At 48.1% G+C, this 19,455-nt stretch overlaps 1 protein-coding gene across 14 annotated transcripts in view, besides 1 other annotated feature; it reads left to right on the top strand.

Moving 5' to 3' along the window:
* The window catches only part of CALN1 (calneuron 1), a 724,789-nt gene that overhangs the window by 164,985 nt on the left and 540,349 nt on the right, over window positions 1-19,455 (top strand). The window contains exons 1-3 of one of the 14 annotated variants that reach the window (XM_011516596.3): window positions 868-1,097; window positions 12,902-12,975; window positions 17,118-17,184. The exons of 7 other annotated variants lie outside the window; for them this stretch is intronic. Coding sequence is in view for 1 of the 7 variants with exons in the window: in XM_011516594.4 (XP_011514896.1) it covers window positions 2,982-3,025 (44 nt within the window). In the remaining 6 variants the exon portion in view is untranslated. Of the gene's footprint in view, window positions 1-867; window positions 1,098-1,903; window positions 2,592-2,713; window positions 3,026-3,128; window positions 3,401-12,037; window positions 12,976-17,117; window positions 17,185-19,455 lie in introns of those variants that run through there. 6 more of the 14 variants (XM_017012683.2, XM_017012682.2, NM_001017440.3 and 3 more) reach the window with 6 other exon arrangements.
* Window positions 12,664-12,864: a silencer, noted in NCBI's record as "peak6577 fragment used in MPRA reporter construct". NCBI's record gives its function as "represses an SCP1 promoter by STARR-seq MPRAs in K562 erythroleukemia cells {active_cell/tissue: K562}" and the evidence as "EXISTENCE:reporter gene assay evidence [ECO:0000049][PMID:32103011]".

Below are 19,455 nucleotides of genomic sequence, written 5' to 3'. Positions count from 1 at the left end.
GAGGTATCTGCATTCTGATGTTTGTTGCAGCACTGTTTATAATAGTTAAGATTTGGAAGCAACCCATGTGTCCATCAACAAATGAATAAAGAAAATGTGGGACATGTACACAATGGAGCACTATTCAGCCATAAAAAAGAATGAGATCCAGTGATTTGTAACTACATGGATGGAAGTGGAGATCATTATGTTAAGTAAAATAAACCCGGCACAGAAAGACAAACATCACATGTTTTCACTTATTTATGGGATCTAAAAATCAAAACAATTGAACTCATGGACATAGAGAATCTACCAGTGGTTACCAGAGGTTGGGAAGGGTGAGGGGGGCTGGGTGGGGGGTGAGGAGGTTGGGTAGGTAGGGATGGTTAATAGGTTAAAAAAAAAAAAACAAGTTAGAATGAATAAGACCTATTATTTGATAGCACAACACAGTGACTATAGTCAATAACTCATATTTTACAATAACTTAGAGTGTAATTGGACTGTTTGTAACTCAAAGGATGAATGTTTGAGGGAATGCTACCCGGTTCTCCATGATGAGCTTATTTCACATTGCATGCCTGTAACAAAACATCTCATGTACCCCATAAATATGTACACCTACCATGTACCTATAAAAATAACAAAAACATATTTAAAAAAGATTACTAGGGAAGTAGGGTCTATACAAGATAGTAATAATACAGGTTAGGAAATGCTAAATGCTAAAGGCGTGGCACCCACAATGAGTGCCTCAGGGACTCTGAAACCACACCCAGGTGAGACACACACACACACACACACACACACACACACACACACACACACACACACACACACACTGTGCTGCTGGCTGACAAAAACGCCCAAACTTCCCTGGCAGTTGAACCAAACAGTGGAGAGGTGATTGCTGAGTTGTTTGCATGAGAGGCTTAGAGCAGCATTGCCTGCTTTTGTTCTGATTGGTGTGAAATTTTTCACATGTATCTTTTCTCTGGTTCTGGGAATTGAAGACATCTGAGCTGGTGAGCAGTCTTTGCCACCAAGAGGGGACAAGAAACTGGGGACCCGGGAGAGGAGGGTGCTGTAAGGAAGGACTAGCCTGCTTTGGCCAGGTTTGTTGCTCTTTCTTTATTGGCACAACCTTGGGGGCAGCAGAAAGGAACTGGCAAGCGTCTAATCTGTCTACGGGACAGTCTGAGACCCACCTTGCTGCTTTCTTTCTTTTTCTTGCCAAGACAAACCTTGGTTGCACTGTGTATTCCGTCAGTTCTTGGGAGGCAGACAGGTGGGGACTGGGAAAGGTGACTGCTGACTCCAAGCACATGCGTTGCCCTTGAGACCTGGGGCAGGGGTCTGTCTGGGCGTAGACTCAGTAGAGGTCAGCGCATGGGCAGGTTGCAGACAGTCTGCGAATTTGTAGCTCACACCTCTGCCCAAGCGCCCTCTCCTTCCCATCGGATCCATTCTATGACCTTGGAAGAAGTGGGGGCCACACCACATGTTCTCAGGCCCTGGAGGAGTGGGATCGCTGGTGGGTGGGCGATGCCCTGCGGCAGCCGTGCCTCCCTGGACGTCTCCAGGGGCGGTCACGCGGAATGCTGGTCCCCGCAGTTTCGGCCATTGGCCCCTCCACTTCGGCGCCCCGCCTTCCCCCTGGGCTCAGGTGTAATCGTGGATCTAGGGTGTGGGCACCTGGGATGAAGTAGTGAAGGCGGCGGGCGCTAGGGTGAGTTGTCCTGTGCTGAGGAGCAGCAGTTTGCCGGAGTTAACGTGGGCAGCCTCTTTGGGAAGGGAAGGAAGGAGCACCGTCTGCCAAGCGCCTGCTCGCCCCCCGCGTGTCTGCCTGTGTGTGCCGTGCATGTGCATGCGTGTGTGTGTGTGTGTGTGCGCGCGAGTGTGAGTGCGCGCGCGCCGAGGCGTTCCTCAGGTTGCGCTGCTTGGAAACCGAGGGAGCCATTGGAGAGGCGGAGGTTGGGGGGTGGGGGCTCCCCGACCCTCGGAGGAGCTGGGGCGCAGGCGGCCAAGGCGAGCCCAGAAGCCCGGCTCCTGAACGCGGGCGCCGGCAGAGCGAGGAGTGTGGTGCTGTCGGCGGCAAGGCCCTGGGGGATCCGCTGGGGAGGAGCTGGGGAGGAGGCCGGAGCTGCATGGAGTTTCTAGGGCGCGCAACTCCAGCGGGGCCTCGGCCACTGGGCTCCGGGGCGCAGCGAGGCAGCCGCGCACATGGGCTGAACCCGCGCGGCCAGCGGGAGCGGGAGGGGTAGAGGAGCGCGCGGTGCAGGGGGTGCGGGGCACACGTCCCCAGACGAGAGCAGAGGACAAGGACAGGGAGGCACGCGCCCAGATCGCGCTCCGAGTCGACGAGGGGGCTCGTGCAGGTCCCGGCGCGCGCGTGGGGAGCGGCCCGGGGGCGCCGAGGGAGCCGGCGGCAGCGAGGATGCCGGCACGGGGACGCGGCTGCCTGCTGGGGGTGTGAGCGAGAGGCTGAGCGCTGCCCGCTCGGCGCATCCATTCCGCACCGCCCCCTCCCTGCGGGCCTCGGAGGAAGCCCCCCGCGCTGTGCGGAGGCGCCTCGGCTGCCGGGCTGCGGAGCCCCGGCCCAGCAAGAGGTGAGTGCCGCCGCCGGCTCCCTAGCTTACCCGCGCGCGCGCTCTCTTTTCTTCTTCCCTCGGTCCTCGCTTCTCTCTAGGGTGTCCAAACCCCCGGGCTGTCGCGGGCCCTGGTGCTCAGAGTGGGCAGATGGTTGGCAGACAGCGCCTCCCGTACCTGTTGGCTCCGACACTGGGGCACCCACCCCGCGGGCTGGGGGCCGCGCCGGCCACCTTGCCTTCCGTGGAGCTGGCTCCTGGCCGCCTGCCTGGGGACGTGGGGCTAGGGAAGGGCCGCGGCGGACTCGGCTGTCCCGGCACCGTGCGGGCTGGAGGCTGGGAGCCGCTCTTCTAGCCCCCAGGCGCCAGTGGCCACCAGGCTGCGCGCCCCCGCCCGCAGGCGCCCGGGCGATGGGGAGGGAGGGCAGGGGACTCGGAGCCGCACCGCAGCCCAGGTGGGAGCGCCCGGCGGCAACCAGGTCTCTTCGCGAAGCCGGAGTCATGGCGATCGGGGGAGGCGGGAGGCAGGGTTCTCTCCACCTCCGGCCCCTAGCGCTGACTGCTTGCCTTTCTGGGCGCACGCTCCTCGCCGCCACCCACCCCGAGTCCGGGGGCGCCAGGGTGCAAGGGGTAACCAGAGAGGCCTCTGCAGTCCGGCTGGGACCTAGTCTCTGAGCTCCAAGCAGCTGGATGGGTCTGGCGCCCAGGTGGGGGTGGGATCCGTCTTCCCCGGACAGTCTGGGTTTACTCGGGTTCCTAGTTTCTCCGGACTAGCGCAGCGCGGAGTGAACTTCCCGAGACTTGGTCCGAGGGCGCCTAGGCAGCAGCAGGTAGTTCTGGGCCACCCTTGGGGCGAGGGCGAGCGGGGGACGCCCCATCCAGACGGGCTGGGGGTACAGAGCGTGCACCGAGGGGATCGGCTTGCGTCTTAGCCTTGGGCCACGTGCGCCCGGGCCACCAGCCCACCATCGTTTCCCACTGCTCTTTTTTCTTGGACGAGGCTTGTGTGAGGAAGGCGCCTTTCTTCCATTTGGGTCGAAGCCCGTAGCTCCTGGGTGAAGCGGTGCCTGCAGTTCCCTGAGTGCCAAGACTGGGGCGCCAGCCATCCCCAGGCCCTGAGCCGGTTTTCTGCAAAAAAGGAGACTTTTTTGGGCTCAGGGAATAGCAGCTTAGCGCCGGCTGTGTGTGGCTGGGAAGTCTGTTTAGTGGTGATAATAACTACATTCTAGAGTGACCCACAGTAGCCTCTGCGACAGAGTTGGGATGACCTTCTCAGAAAGAATGGGTAGATTTCTGCGCTGTGTGTGTTGAGACACACGCAACATTCGTGCACATAGAACTCATGAGCTCCTAGCATTTTCAGGTTCTGCTTCTTTAACTGATGACTTTTGCTCAAAAAGGGAAATTATTTTTCAATTCGGGCATCAGAGCTTTGGAAAGGAATTTAAAGCCATTTGGTGTGAAATTGTCTTGAGGCTAGAACAGGACGTGTTTTTCATAGAAGCCCCATTCCAGCTCTCCTTCTTGGCTTGTTCGTGGTTTTATTTCATTTTTTGTGGGGTGGGAGGAGGTGTTGGAAGAAGAATGTGGAGTTTTGATTTTTATCTGCTACCTGTACTCATGTCCAGGTGTCACCTCAGACCTCTCGGCCTTGTGGTTCTGTCACCACGCCCAGTTTAGGATTCATTCCAGGGCTCCAGGAACTGCATAACTTTGCTAGTTCCCCCGGCAGTTGGTGGGGTCTTCTACCAAAGCCCCAAGGATGCCCTGAGCTGTGTTTCCAGAGTAGCCTGCCCTGGTGGAAGACCAGTGGAATGGCTCTGTTTGTTGAGTTCACTGCAGACGTGTGGGTTTTTCATGGCAATAGCTGCATGAAGCTGTTTACTGAGAAGCTGTTCTACAATGGTGAAGTTGGTTACTGGGTGTATCCAAGTGGAGTAATGAAAACAAAACTCTTTGGAAATCCAATCCTCACGATATTTTATTGGAGGAGAGCTAAATCCTCTTAGAATTGTTCACCAAGATGTCACCTTTCCCTGAACTCTGAAAGCAACTATTGCCAGTAATCAGGCCTTCGGCTAGGGTGCAGGATAAGGGCTTTTTAGAACGAAAATAATTTAATTCAGCTGCTTCTGTTGAGAAACGATGGGCAAGACTTGATTGACACACATGATGCCCTTTCCTCTGTAAGGGGAGGGGGGGTACAGGTTGAGGGGTGGATGACAACTGTTCATTGTTGAGTTTTACATTTATCTCTCCAGTGGGTAGCTTCTGATCCGTTCATAAATATTGGGCAGGGCTGGGGTCGCATTTAGAAATTTCTTTTTCATAGAAACTGGTCTCTTGAGGGTCACCAGCCAGGGTGGGATATCTGTGGCTGGTCCTTCCTTCTGTTGTGGTGTGTGCAGTGGTGTCTTTTACCACATTCTTGTATTGACCACCTATGCAGTGTTTGCTGGTTGTCAGAAGGGGGCACTGGTTCTCATTACGAGAGAAATTCCAATTGATAGACTTTGGACGTTTAAAGCCTTCGGAGACCCTCTTAATTCAGATTTCTGAGACCCTACTTGTGTGCCAGACCCTTTCACACCTTTGAGCTCATGTCATCCTCATTCTTCGTGTTTGGAAACTGATGCAAAGGGAAGTGAAATCACTTTTCCTGGGGCTGTGAAGCTTGCAGGTCAGAAGCAGAGTTACGGTTTGAGGCTAACAGGCTGGGTTTCGATCCTATGTGCGGGGCACTTTCCACATTGCTTCCTTAGGAAAAGTATTTTGGGAACCTTTGACCTGCAGTAACTTGTTTAGAGTCAGACACAGAGTGGGTGCCCTATATTCGTTGAGTGAATCTAGGTCAGCAGCTCATTCCTCATTCCTGGTGAGGAAACTGAGGCACAGGAGGAGCTGTGTCTGTGCAGTTGGTCTGGGGTGGAAGGAGAATCCCACAGCAAAACCCTTTCTTTGTCACGTGTGCCTGTACTGGTTTGAGCCCAGACTGGTTTGATGATTGATGGTAAGCTTTTTTTTTTTTTTTTTCTGCATATTCCCTTTCTGTACCCATGTTGGTATAGGTTCACTTGGGACTTCAGCTGGTGTAGTCAGAGTGTCTGAAATGTCCTTTCACGATTGAGAACCATTAAGCAGTGCAACCAGCAACAGCCTCTGATGCTCGTTAAAACAGTGTGAGTTCTGACTCTTAAGCTATGAAACCATCCTTCAAGATTAGCAGAACATTGGCAGATTTCTCAGAACGCTCAATTTGAGGATAATTCCAAATGTGGTTCGGAAGGAGGAAAAGGAAAACACCATTGTTGCATCCAACCTGGGGTTTTTCAATGTGAATTAAGTTTTTAATCATTTAACATTCAACAAACATTTATTCAGTGCCTATTATGTGGTATGGATAGATAGATGAAGTTGACACAGTGCCTGTCATCAAAAAATTCACAGATTAGTGGGGAGGCCAGACCATGTGTTAGGGTTGAACATTTGTGAACAGAGATGGATGGTAGCTAGGCAAGGGTGGAGGTGATGTCTGAGCTGAGTTTAAAGGATGATTAGGACGTGGTTAGCTTTTCATGGGTATTCTGGTGCAGAGGAAAGGGTGGGAAAGTCTGAGAAATTAGAACACGTGGAGAATATGAGGAAGCAGCTGGTAGTTTGGAGTTCTTGGTGCTTAAAGGTTGAGACAGGGAGGTACAAAAGAAGTGACCAGAATGATAGATGGTGGGGGCCTTTAGTCAGGACCCAGGGACTCAGCATTTCTCCGTTAGGATGGCATGGTCAGTTGTGGCTGGAGACTTCGTGGTGAATGGATTTGGCACTGAGAAGACCAGAAACATGGATACCAGGGAGGAAGCTGGCTCTGAAAGCCGGACAAGGCTGATGAGGCCATGGTGGGGAGGATGGAGAAGATGGGATGAATTTGGCAAACAGGAGAGTTGTCAGTTAGGATCCTTGGGTTGCAAGCAACAGAAACTAAGTCTGGCTAACAACGTCAATAAAGATCGCATTAAGAATACTGATGGAAACTCACAGGATTAAGAACATCCCTGAAGAACCAGGCATGGAATACTCAGGCATTAGGCAGTCCAGGGGATCTCAGTGGCAGGAATTGACTTGTGGTCTCTCCCAGGGGATGCTATGGAAGTAAATGATCACCAACCTTTTCTATTATTATTGAGGTAGGAGGTGGGACTCAACTTTGGAGGTGGGGCTCAATTTGGTCCAAGTAGCTGGACCAAATTGAGGACCAGCTAAAACAGGGCTGGGGTGGAAGCAGCTCTCCATAAGACACACCCACACATGTGCCATGTCAGTTTACTGTTGCCATGGCAACACCGAGACGTTATCACCCCTTTCCATGGCACTGACCCAACCACCCAGAAGTTACCACCCTATTTCTAGAAATTTCTGCATAAACTGTCCTTAATTTGCCTGTAACTAAAAGTGGGTGTAAATATGACTGCAGCACTGCTTCTGGGGTGCTACCTTGCACACATTGCCTAGGGAATAGCCCTGCTCTACAAGGAGTATCTCTGCTGCTGCTGTACACTGCTGCTTCAATGAAAGTTGCTGTCTCCCATTGACAATAGCAAAGACATGGAATCATCTTACATGCCCATCAGTGATAGACTGGATAAAGAAAACGTGGTACATATACACCATGGAATACTATGCAGCCATAAAAAATGATGAGTTCATGTCCTTTGCAGGGACATGGATGGAGCTGGAGGCCATTATCCTTGGCAAACGCAGGAACTGAAAATCAAATACTGCATGTTCTCACTTATAAGTGGAAGCTAAGTGATGAGAACATATGGACCCATGGGGATGCACAAACACACTGGGGCCTGTTAGAGGGTGGAGGGTGGGAGGAGGAAGAGCATCAGGAAGAATACCTAATGGATTCTGGGCTTAATACCTGGGTGATGGGATGGTCTGTGCAGAAAACCACCATGGTACACATTTACCTGTGTAACAAACCTGCACATCCTGCACATGTACCTCTGAACTTAAGATAAAACTTGGAAAAAAAACAAGGTAACAGTTGGAAAAAAAATAAAATGAATAAGTAAATAAATAGATATTCTGTGACTATTAGAAAAAAAAGTTGCTGTCTCACACCCCTGGCTTGCCCTTGAATTCTTTCCTGGGCAAAGCCAAGAACCCTCCCAGGCTAAGCCCCAATTTTGGGCTCACCTGTCCTCCGTTATTGTTACTGTATCATTCTGCTGCATTCAAGATGCTCAGAGGACATATCTGATTGGCATAGTTTTGGGTCCCTGTATCTAGGGGTAGGTTTCTGAAAAGTCACTGGGATTGGGAGAGACTGTTTTCCTCCTCCTTTTTCTTTTTCTTTTTTTTCTTTCTTTTTTTTGATGGAGTCTCGCTCTGTTGCCCAGGCTGGAGTGCAGTGGCGTGATCTCGGCTCACTGCAACTTCTGCCTCCTGGGTTCAAGCGATTCTTCTGCCCCCGCCTCTTGAGTAGCTGGGATTATGGGCTCCCGCCACCATGCCCGGCTAATTTTTGTATTTTTAGTAGAGACGGGGTTTCACCATATTGGCCAGGCTGGTCTCGAACTCCTGACTTCAGGTAATCTACCTGCCTTGGCCTCCCAAAGTGCTGGGATTACAGGTATGAGCCACCGTGCCCGGCCAGGAGAGATTGTTTTCTGAAAGGAAACTGGAAGGATTCTGCTAAAAGACAGTGACAGTGATGTTGAGCTTGTCTTCCATAGGAGGGAAAATTGGCAGGATTATTAATTGGTGGGGAAGTGGGAGAAAGGGAAGGTGTCACTGTTGGGTTTCTGGTTTAGGTAACAGGGTGGAGAAGTAAAATCGAAGTCCGAGCAAGACTAAATAACTGGTTTGCCTTCCCACTGGCAGGGCTGTGGGCAGCTCTCCATGACCAGGCTATTGGAGAGGGTGACAATCTATTTTAAAAAGCCTCATTAAGGGACTGTGCTGCTGTGAATAAGACCTATTTAAGTAGGTTACTTTATCTCATGCACCACAAATCTGGATTCTTTGAAAATGCTTTCATTCATCCAACCAGAATGTATTGAGCATCTCTGGTTCAGGTACTGGGGAAAATGATGAATTCGTCAGACAGAGATGGTACCCTTATAGTCTAGTGGTGTAAGACACAATAAAAAATATGGAAATAAAATTGGAGGATATAATTGAGACAGATGCAAGCACTGCTTCAGATTGGATGGCCAACAAAGGTCTCTCTCTCTTTTTTTTTTTTTTTTTTTTGGAGACAGTCTTGCTCTGTTGCCCAGGCTGGAGTGCAGTGGCACGATCTTGGCTCCCTGCAGCCTCTGCTTACTGGATTCAAGTGATTCTTCTGCCTCAGCCTTCCGGGAAGCTGGGATTACAGACGTACACCACCACACCCAGCTAATTTTTGTGTCATTATTCTTATTTTTTGAGATGGAGTCTCACTGTGTCACCCAGGCTGGAGTGCAGTGGCATGATCTCAACTCCCTGCACCCTCCACCTCTGAGGTTCAAGAAATTCTCCTGCCTCAGCATCCGGAGTAGCTGGGATTACAGGCGCCCGCCACCACGCCCAGATAAATTTTGTATTTTTAGTAGAGACGGGGTTTCACCATGTTGGCCAGGCTGGTCTTGAACTCCTGACACCTCAGGTGATCCGCCTGCCTCAGCCTCCCAAAGTGCTGGGATTACAGGTATAAGCCACTGCGCCCGACCTAATTTTTGTATTTTTATTTTTATTTATTTATGTATTTATATTTATTTATTTTTTGAGACGGAGTCTTGCTCTGTTGCCCAGGCTGGAATGCAGTGGCGCGATCTCGGCTCACTGCAAGCTCTGCCTCCAGGATTCAAACGATTCTCCTGCCTCAGTCTCCTGAATAGCTGGAATTACAGGTGCGTGGCACCACGCCCAGCTAATTTGTGGATTTTTAGTAGTGACGGGGTCTCACCATGTTGGCCGCGCTGGTCTCGAACTCCTGACCTCAGGTGATCCACCTGCCTCAGCCTCCCAAAGTGCTGGGATTACAGGCATGAGCCACCGCGCCCAACCAAGAAAGGTCTCACTGATGAGCTCTATTTAGGCTGATACCAGAATGACATGAAGGGATAAAGTGGGGAAATATCTGCGGAAGAACTTCCAGGGTGTGGGAACAGCCAGTGCAAAAGTCTCAAAGCAGGAATGAACTGGGTTCATTAGAGGAGAAGGAAGGAGACTGGTGTGGCAGGAGATGAGTTCAGAGAGATGGGGGCTAGCTCATATAGGGTCACCCTGTGGAGTTTGGGTTTGATACTGAGTTCAGTAGAAGCCACTGAGGGGTTTTAAACAGGTGAATGATATGACTTAGTCTATATTTTCCAAAGATCATCCTGTCTCCAGCTGTCCATTCTGCCTGCACTACTGTGGTACAATAAAGTGAGTCTTTATCCATCAGAGTGTAAAATAAAATGTAGTGTTTAACAGTAACAGATGGAGAGAAAATGCTTTGGTGACCTTAATTTGGTGATTTCTAACGTACCAGTTAAGTGTGGATACAAACAAAACTGCAATTATAGTATGATTTCAGTTTTGTTTAAAAACGTGGTACAGAAGAACAATGGAAATAAATGGACCAAAAATGTTAACAATGCTTGTCCAAAGCTGTTGGCGTTATGAATGATTTTATGGTTTTGCAAATGAACACACATTTACAATCGGAAAAATGTTTGTTTTAAAATGTAGACACCGGGCTGGGCACGTTGGCTTACGCCTGTAATCCCAGCACTTTGGGAGGCCGAGATGGTTGGATCAGCTGAGGTCAGGAGTTCAAGACCAGCCTGGCCAACCTGGCGAAACCCCGTCTCTACTAAAAATATAAAAAACTAGCTGGGCATGGTGGTGGGTGCCTGTAATCCCAGCTCCTTGGGAGGCTGAGGCAGGAGAATTGCTTGAACCCAGGAGGCGGAGGTTGCAGTGAGCTGAGATTGTGCCACTGCACTCCAGCCTGGGCAACAGAGCGAGACTCTGTCTCAACAAAAGTAAATAAATGTAGACACCGATGATCACCAATGCCTTGAATAGAATGTTGGGAGACTATATCTACAAAACACTTTCCCCTACCATCTTATTTTGGGAGTTTTAATCTCAAAAACCCATGGTCCTGGTTGGGACAAAACACAGGATGCTCATCGTATTAGTCTGTTCTCACACTGCTAATAAAGACATACCTGAGACTGGGTAATTTATAAAGGAAAGAGGCTTGATGCACTCACAGTAGTACCACATGCCTGGGAGGCCTCACAATCATGGCGGAAGATGAAGGAAGAGCAAGAGGATGTCTTCCATGATGGCAGGAAAGAGCTTGTGTAGGGGAGCTCCCATTTGTAAAACCATGAAATCTCATCAGACTTATTCACTACCATGAGAACAGTATGGGGGAAACCACCCCCATGATTCAATTATCTCCACCTGGCCCCACCCTTGATACGTGAGTATTATTGCAATTCAAGGTGAGATTTGGGTGGGGACACAGCCAAACTGTATTACATGTTTTGACAAGGTGCCCAATAAGTGGCTCTGTTTTGTGCTTAAGACATTTTTTAGCGATGAAAGTAAACATTTTTTTTTTAAAAAAAGAAATTAAAAGCTATACAGAAATGTTACATAGAACTTGGAAGGCACCTTTCTTCACTCTCATTCTCAATACCATTAACATTTCAAGTACATATATTGTTAGATTTTTTTCTATGCATTTCAAATACATACATCTAAATTTTGTTGAATTTGAGGTATTGCTGTAAGAAGTTACTTTGCTTCTAAATTACTCTCCAAGTTTCTTCTCATAGAGGTTGAAACCAAGATGACCTTTTTTTCCCCCTTTTAAACAAATTATTAGGAAATTTGAACACATAACTAGGAAGAACTGAACCTTGCCTTTTTAGTATTCAGAGTGTTACTGAAAGCATAATTTATACTTATGAAGAATAGAGCAATTAAATATTCATTAAAAGCTTATTTCTGAACATTTAAACATTATTGCTTTCCCAAACATCATTGGATCCCAAAAGTTTGTATCACGATTACAAATCGCGTGCACTTTTTCATTATCAAAAGTTAGGCAATAGGAAAATGTAGAAGTGCAAATTCGACAGCTTGGCTAATTATTTTGGTGTCATATTTGTTACAACTAAGTATTATTCTTTGAAAACAGGAAAAGAAAAACGTTCAATGAAGTGTTCGTTTATTTATTTATTTTTGAGACAGAGTCTTGCTCTGTTGCCCAGGCTGGAGTGCAGTGCCGTGATCTCAGCTCACTGCAACCTCCGCCTGCTGGATTCAAGGGATTCCCCTGCGTCAGCCTCCTGAGTAGCTGGGACTAAAGGCACGTGTCACCACACCTAATTTTCGTATTTTTAGTAGAGACGGGTTTCACCATACTGGCCAGGCTGGTGTCAAACTCCTGACCTCAAGTGATTCTCCCGCCTCAGCCTCCCAAAGTGCTGGGATTACAGGCGTGAGCCACTGCACCCAGCCTCAATCAAGTGTTACTCAGAACCATTGATGTGTTCTGGAAGAGCTGGATGTTCACATAAAGCCCAAGTTGACCTTGTGGTCTCATCCTACAGACTGGGCTTGGGGGCTTCATTGTCAGGAATTAACTGCCACAAACTCAGTCTCAATATGACTGAATAGTGTTGGATTGGAGTCTCATGTGATTCAGCAGAATTACTACCTTAAAAATCATTAACTAAACATATCCTTTTGTGGTGAAAAGAATGAATATGTGTTTAGAAGACATTGACTGCAAAGTAATAGAACCATGGAATTTAAAGGAGAAGAGGAACCTTGGTTAGCTCATTTGACAGATGGGGAGACTCAGTCAGAGAGACTGAGTGACATGTGCACTGTCAAACAGAGTTCATTTCACACCCCAGAGCCCTTTCCCCTACACTCAGCTGTGGCTCCTTGTTATTGGAAACCGAATTTATTTTTGTAAACCCAAGAATTAGGAAAATGCTCCGAACCTCATGAAAACCGAGAGGGTTTTTGAGCTGTTCATTCATTCTGCAAATTGTAATCTGTTTGTGTACTGATAACAGGCCTAATTACTGTGTAAACATTTTTATAGCCTGGTAAGAAAACCTCAAACATCTGTACTGAACACTGATGTGGCGTCTCAGCCTCCAGCATTCCTACTGCTGGTTCGGAAAACCAGTTGCTCTGCTTTTTAATCTGATCTGTGGCTGATGATTCATTTTATATGCATACACATAAACACATATTCCATCTCAGCAGGCAAACTAGCTTAGTGCTTAGTAGGTGTCATCTGCTTTATTTCTCCCATTTTACAGATGAAGAAACAGAGATGTAGCCAGGTCACAGAGATGTTGCACAGGGTCACGGCTTAGTACTTGGAAACCCAGAGGTATGTAACCCACTAGCTAAAGCCTTCATCCTTTCTGTGCCTATCCAAGACAAGCAACCTTTGTGCAAGGACGATCAGGATCTGAGTTTGTAAAACCACTTTCAATAGTTAAATTAAGGCCAGGCATGATGGCTCACGCCTGTAATCCCAGCACTTTGGGAGGCCCAGGCAGGCGGACCTCGGGAGGCCAGGAGTTCGAGACCAGCCTGGCCAACATGGTGAAACTGCGTCTCTACTAAAAATACAAAATTTAGCCAGGCGTGGTGGCGGGCACCGGTAATCCTGGCCACTCAGAAGGCTTGAGGCAGGAGAATCGCTTGAACCCGGGAGGTGGAGGTTGCAGTGAGCTGAGATTGTGCCACTGCATTCCAGCCTGGGTGACAGAACAAGACCCTGTCTTCTAAAAAAGCCCACCAAAAAACAGTTAAATCACATTTTTTGCCCAGATGTCAAGCGGCAGAGAGGTCTCTGCGAGGTTATTGCATTTTCAAGCCTGTTTTGTGGGTTGCCATCAATCCGTTCCCTTCATGAGTCACTTGGTGGGAGCAGGTCACCAATAGATCATCTGCCCTCAGCAGAGATGGGTGGTTTTCTTTTCCTGCCAAGACCCAAGCCTCAAGTTATTTACCTAGGCAACTAACTGACTTGGTTCCTGCATTATTTTTATTTTATTTATTTTTGAGACAGAGTTTCACTCTTGTTTTATTTATTTATTTTCGAGACAGAGTTTCAATCTCGTTGTCCAGGCTGGAGTGCAATGGTGTGATCTTGGCTCACTGTAACCTCTGCCTCCTGGGTTCAAGCGATTCTTGTGCCTCAGCCTCCCAAGTAGCTGGGATTACTGGTGCTCACCACCACGCCCGGCTCAGTTTTGCATTTTTAGTAGAGACAGGGTTTCCCTATGTTGGCCAGGCTGGTCTCGAACTCTTGACCTCAGGTGATCCACCCACCTTGGCCTCCCAAAGTGCTGGAATTACAGGCATGAGCCACTGCACCCGGACAGCATTATTTTCATTTATTTATTCAGAGACAGAATCTCTATCACCCAGACTAGAGTGCAGAGTCACAATCATGGCTCACTGCAGCCTCAACTTCCTGGGCTCAAATGATTTTCCCACCTCAGCTTCCTGAGTAGCTGGGACCAAAGTTTGCCACCAAGCTCAGCTACTTTTAAAATTTTTTTGTAGAGACGGGGTTTCACCATGTTGCCCAGGCTGGTCTTGAACTCCTGCCCTTAAGCAATTCTCCTGCCTTGGCCTCTCAAAAGTGCTGGGATTAGAGGTAGGAGCCAGTGCACCCAGCAATCTTTAAGTAAACGCTGAAATTCTCTAATTCTCGACACCCAAAGAGATAAATGCATCTGTCGAGCTTCCAAAAACCCAGCACAGAACTCCCTGGAACCCTCAAAGGGTAGTAGGCAACAGGGAAAAATTTGAGACTGAGAGCAGTGGCTCATGCCTGTAATCCCAGCTCTTTGGGAGGCTGAAGCGGGTGGATCACTTGAGGTCACGAGTTCAAGACCAGCCTGGCCAACAGGGTGAAACCCTGTCTCTACCAAAAAAATACAAAAATTAGCCGGGTGTGGTGGTACACATCTGTAGTCCCAGCTACTCGGGAGGCTGAGGCAGGAGAATCACTTGAACCCGGGAGGCGGAGGTTGCAGTGAGCCAAGTTACCCCATTGAGCTCCAGCCTGGCCAACAGAGGGAGACTCTGTCTCTAAATAAATAAATAAATAAATAAATAAATAAATAAATAAATTACATCATTTAAAAGGAGGGAAAAAGAGAGAGAGAGCCAGAGCTGAAAATGAGCTTTCCACTCCTAGGGAAAGATTTTGGAGGTTATTGGGGAATAATATTAGGAGGGAAGGTAAATGCAAGAGGCAGGTATGATTGGGACAGTGACCCCGTCATAAATGATAACTCCAGAGATGGGATGACCCTGCTGTGGTCTTGGAAAAGGATGGTTATCAGTGATGCTTTTTCAGGAAACAGACCTTTCTGGAGGAGGTGAAATCCCTCCAGAACTTGGATTTGAGTGCTAGAATCTGAAGCAGAGATTTTAATTCAGTGGTTCTCAAACTTTGCTGCACATTAAAATTCTCTGGGGAGGCTTAAAAATTCCAATGCTCTAATCACATCCCAGGAGTCTCCTGGGGCCTGGGAGGCAGTGGTGATTCCACTGTACAGCCAACTTTGCGAACCAGGGCACTCGGACACCATTTCTCCAAGGGATGTGCCAACCAGGGGATCTTGTTGAACTGCATTTAAAAAAACAAAACAAAACAAAAAACCCAGAGTCTCACTCTGTCACCCAGGCTGGAGTGCAGTGGCACAGCCTCAACCTCCTGGGCTTAAGTGATCCTCCTGCCTCAGCCTCCCGAGTAGCTGGGACTATAGACGTGTGCCACAGCACCCGGCTAATTTTTGTGTTTTTTGTACAGATGGGGTTTCGCTATGTTTCCCAGGCCAGTCTCAAAATCTTGGACTCAAGCAATCCACCCACCTCAGCCTCCCAAAGTGCCGGGATTACAGGCATGAGCCACCGTGCTCAGCCTAAACTGCAAATTATGATCGTTGAGTTTGGGGAAGGCAACTCTTTTTTCCCTTTTTTTCTTTCTCTTTTTGTTCTCTTTATTTTTTATTTTTTTTTTTTTGAGATGGAGTCTCGCTCTGTCCCCAGGCTGGAGTGCTGTGGCGTGATCTCAGCTCACTGCAACCTCTGCCTCCCAGGTTCAAGCTATTCCCCTGCCTTGGCCTCCTGAGTAGCTGGGATTACAGGTGCATGCCAGCATGCCCAGCTGATTTTTAAAATATTTTTAGTAGAGGCGGGATTTCACTATGTTGGCCAGGCTGGTCTCAAACTCCTGACCTCAGGCAATCGCCCGTGGAGCAGGCATTTCCAACAAGCTGCAGCCACCACTGCTATAGGGTGGACCACAGTGGGACTACCAAGATGCTAGTTAAGAGAAGCATTTTCCTGACATCCGTAGCTTCACACGAAGGGCTTCCAGAATCACTGCCTTTTCATGAGATGCCTGGTAGCGTGGGTTCATCCAGGGCAGGGTTAGAGAACAAAGGACTGGGTTCCTGCCTTTCCCACCCCTCAGAACAAGACAGACTCACTGCAAAGGCTCACAGCACACTCTGAGTCCTCTCTACAGGGTCCCTCTCAGAACCAGTTGTCAGGATGAAACTTATTTATCCTTCAAGATTTAGCATATTCTCCTGTCCCTGGTCAGGAATTTTTTTTTTTTTTTTCTGTGTGGTTTGAATTACAAATTGGTTTTTTTGCGTGCCTTCCCCTCCCCTCCCCTCCCCTGTCCTTTTTCTGTTCCCACTCCACCCAGGATATTTATTTATTTAAAAATTTTTTTGATTTTTGTGGGTACATATTTATAGGGTACATGAGATATTTTGATACAGGCATGCAGTGTGTAATAATGATGTCAGGGTAAGTGGGGTATATCCATCCCCTCAAACGTTTATCCCTTGTGTTATGAACAAGGGATTTTAAATTTTTAAATTTAAAATTAAATTATTTTTGACTATAGTTACCCTGTTGTCCTAGCAAGTACTAGGGTATTATTCATTCTTCCTATTTTTTTGTACCCATTAACCATCCCCACATCCCCCACATTCCCCCACTACCCTTCCCAGCCTCTGGAAACCATCCTTCTACTCTCTATCTCTATGAGTTCAATTGTTTTAATTTTTAGTTCCCACAAATAGGTGGGAACATGCAAAGTTTGTCTTTCTGTGCCTGGTTTATTTCACTCCTGGTCAGAATTTATAGTGTCAGAATTGGAAGCTTGGAGAAATGGAAAGGAACTTAGGAATTATCTAGTCTAAACAAGTCCCCAACCCCTTGGCCATGGATGGGTACTGACTGGTCCATGGCCTGTTAGGAACCAGGCTACCCAGAAGGAGGTGAGCGGTGGGGAAGGGAGCGGTGCTGCTTCTGTATTTACAGCCACTCCCCATTGCTTACATTACCGTAAACCTGAGCTCCGCCTCCTGTCAGATCAGCGGCAGTGTTAGATTCTCATAGGAAGCCTATTGTGAACTGTGCATGCAAGGGATCTAGGTTGCAACCTCCTTATGAGAGTCTAATGCCTGATGATCTGTCACTATCTCCCAGCACCCCCGGATGGGACCATCCAGTTGCAGAAAAATAAGCTCAGGGCTCCCACTGATTCTACATGATGGTGAGTTGTAGAATTATTTCATTGTATATTACAATCTAATAATAATAGAAATAAAGTGCACGATAAATGGAATGTGCTTGAATCATCCCCAAACCATCCTCTCCTGCCCCCGGTCCATGGGAAAAACTGTCTTCCACGAAACTGGTCCTTGGTGCCAAAAATGTTGGGGACAGCTGGTCTAAACCACTGTGTTTTGTGGTGGAGGAAGCTGGGACCCAGGGTGATTTGTTTAGAGTCACAGACCACTAGAACAGGAGGTCTGCTCAGGAGGACAGACGTGGCAGGAAGATGCCAAGAGAGATGACACTTTGTGCTGTTCTTGGTAAGGGAGAATCAGGAGACAGAGCTATCCAGAAAGACTGCGGGTATAGTCACGTTAAAGGCACCTGTGACTCCAGCGATGTCACAGTTAATTATACCTGTGATTTTCCGTCCCCTCCCTCCAGGCACCTCACCAACTTTAGTTAACTACACAGAAGCTTAATGAAATTCTTTGCTTCTGCAGTTGGAGTTGACACCTTGACAGATGTTCAACAGCTTGTTTCCAGGTGGGACGCTGATGTAGGCTGCCCCACTTCACGCAAAACAATTACGTTTACGATTTTCGCCCAAAATATTGTCTCCTGTCGTTGAAACCCATAGAGAACACTTGTAACCTATAGATTTCTTGGTGTTGTGGTGAATATGTTCAGCTTGTTGTAAGAATAGTTCATAATTGATGCTCTTGGCATTTATCACCCAGCCGTGATGTGCTCAACGCGTGATGACTAATAAGTTGTATTTCGTTGGATCCTTTTTTCTTGCTTTCTCAACCCAAGTCACCTGTCTCAGCATGTCAGTGTCGACAGGGACGGTTTCCTGCCCGGCTCTTTGTGAGCTGCCTTGAGATGAAGACAATAAATGCGAAACTCAAGGACTCAAATAGACAGTGCTTTTTCAGGGTGTGTGCATTATGTCCTAGAAGATCAAGTGTTTAAATTGAATAGGTGAAGTCTTAGGGGGCAGCTGAAAGTGAGCATAAAGATTGAGGCAGCATACTTACAGCTTATGGTTATGTAAGTGCTGCTTTCTAAGTACTTGGCATAGGTTAATTCATTTAATCTTTTCAATAACGTTTTTATGGATGAGGGCACCTAACCCCAGAGAAGTTAAATACCTGGCTGAAAGTCACACAGCTGTGGACTAGTGAGTTTGGACTCATGACTTCAAAAGCCATGCTCTTAACCTGCTAGGTTAGGCTGCCTCTGTGATTCTTTTTTTTTTTTTTTTTTTTTTTGAGATGGAGTCTCGCTCTGTCGCCCAGGCTAGAGTGCAGTGGTGTGGTCTCGGCTCACTGCAACCTCCGCCTCCCTGGCTCAAGCAATTCTCCTGTCTCAGGCTCCCGAGTAGCTGGAATTACAGGTGCATGCCACCATGCCTGGGTAATTTTTGTATTTTTAGTAGAGATGGGGTTTTGCCATGTTGGCCGGGCTGGTCTTGAACTCCTGACCTCAATTGATCCGACCACCGCGGCCTCCCAAAGTGTTGGGATTACAGGCGTGAGCCATCACTTCCAGCTGCCTCTGTAATTCTAATTGCTCAACTTGTACAAGTGTCTGCAGAGTACTTCTTTGCTTATGTCATCCTAGGTCCCAGGACCGTGGCTCTTTTCTGCTTCCATCCCGAAACTTGTTACCTCATTCTTGCTTCCCCAATAAGAGCCACTCCGGGAGCATGTGCACCTGGGGAACAGATAGAGCTCCCTGAATCCTCCCGCACTTCAGGCTCGACTCACTGGACTGGATTTCCTGGGACTTACCCTTGCCTGAATGGTACTGGATTGCTCTACCGTTTTGCAAGGTCGTAGGCTGGGGTCCTAGCCCGCCGTCCTAGCCCTGGTCAGCAGCTTGGCTTGATCTTGGCCCTCCCTCTCTGCCTGCTTGCCTGGTATTACAGCCTGATTTTTAGAGGACCACAGTCTGCTCTTTGTTTTTTTATGAGATGGAGTCTCGCTGTGTCATCTCGATCTGTCGTCCAGGCTGGAGTGTAACGGCACGATCTCAGCTCACTGCAGCCTCTGCCTCCTGGGTTCAAGTGATTCTCCTGTCTCACGCCCTGGCTAATTTGTTTTTGTATTTTTAGTAGAGTCTGGGTTTCACCATGTTGGCCAAGCTGTGCCTAGTGATGAAGTCTGGGCTGTTAGTGTAACCATCGCCCGAATAGTGTACATTGTATCCATTAAGTAATTTCTTATCTCTCATCCCCTCCCACCCTCCTACCTTTCTGAGTCTC

This window comes from Homo sapiens, chromosome 7 (genome assembly GCF_000001405.40).
Source record: "Homo sapiens chromosome 7, GRCh38.p14 Primary Assembly".
Taxonomy (NCBI): domain Eukaryota; kingdom Metazoa; phylum Chordata; class Mammalia; order Primates; family Hominidae; genus Homo; species Homo sapiens.
This window is presented reverse-complemented; position numbering and strand designations above follow the sequence as displayed.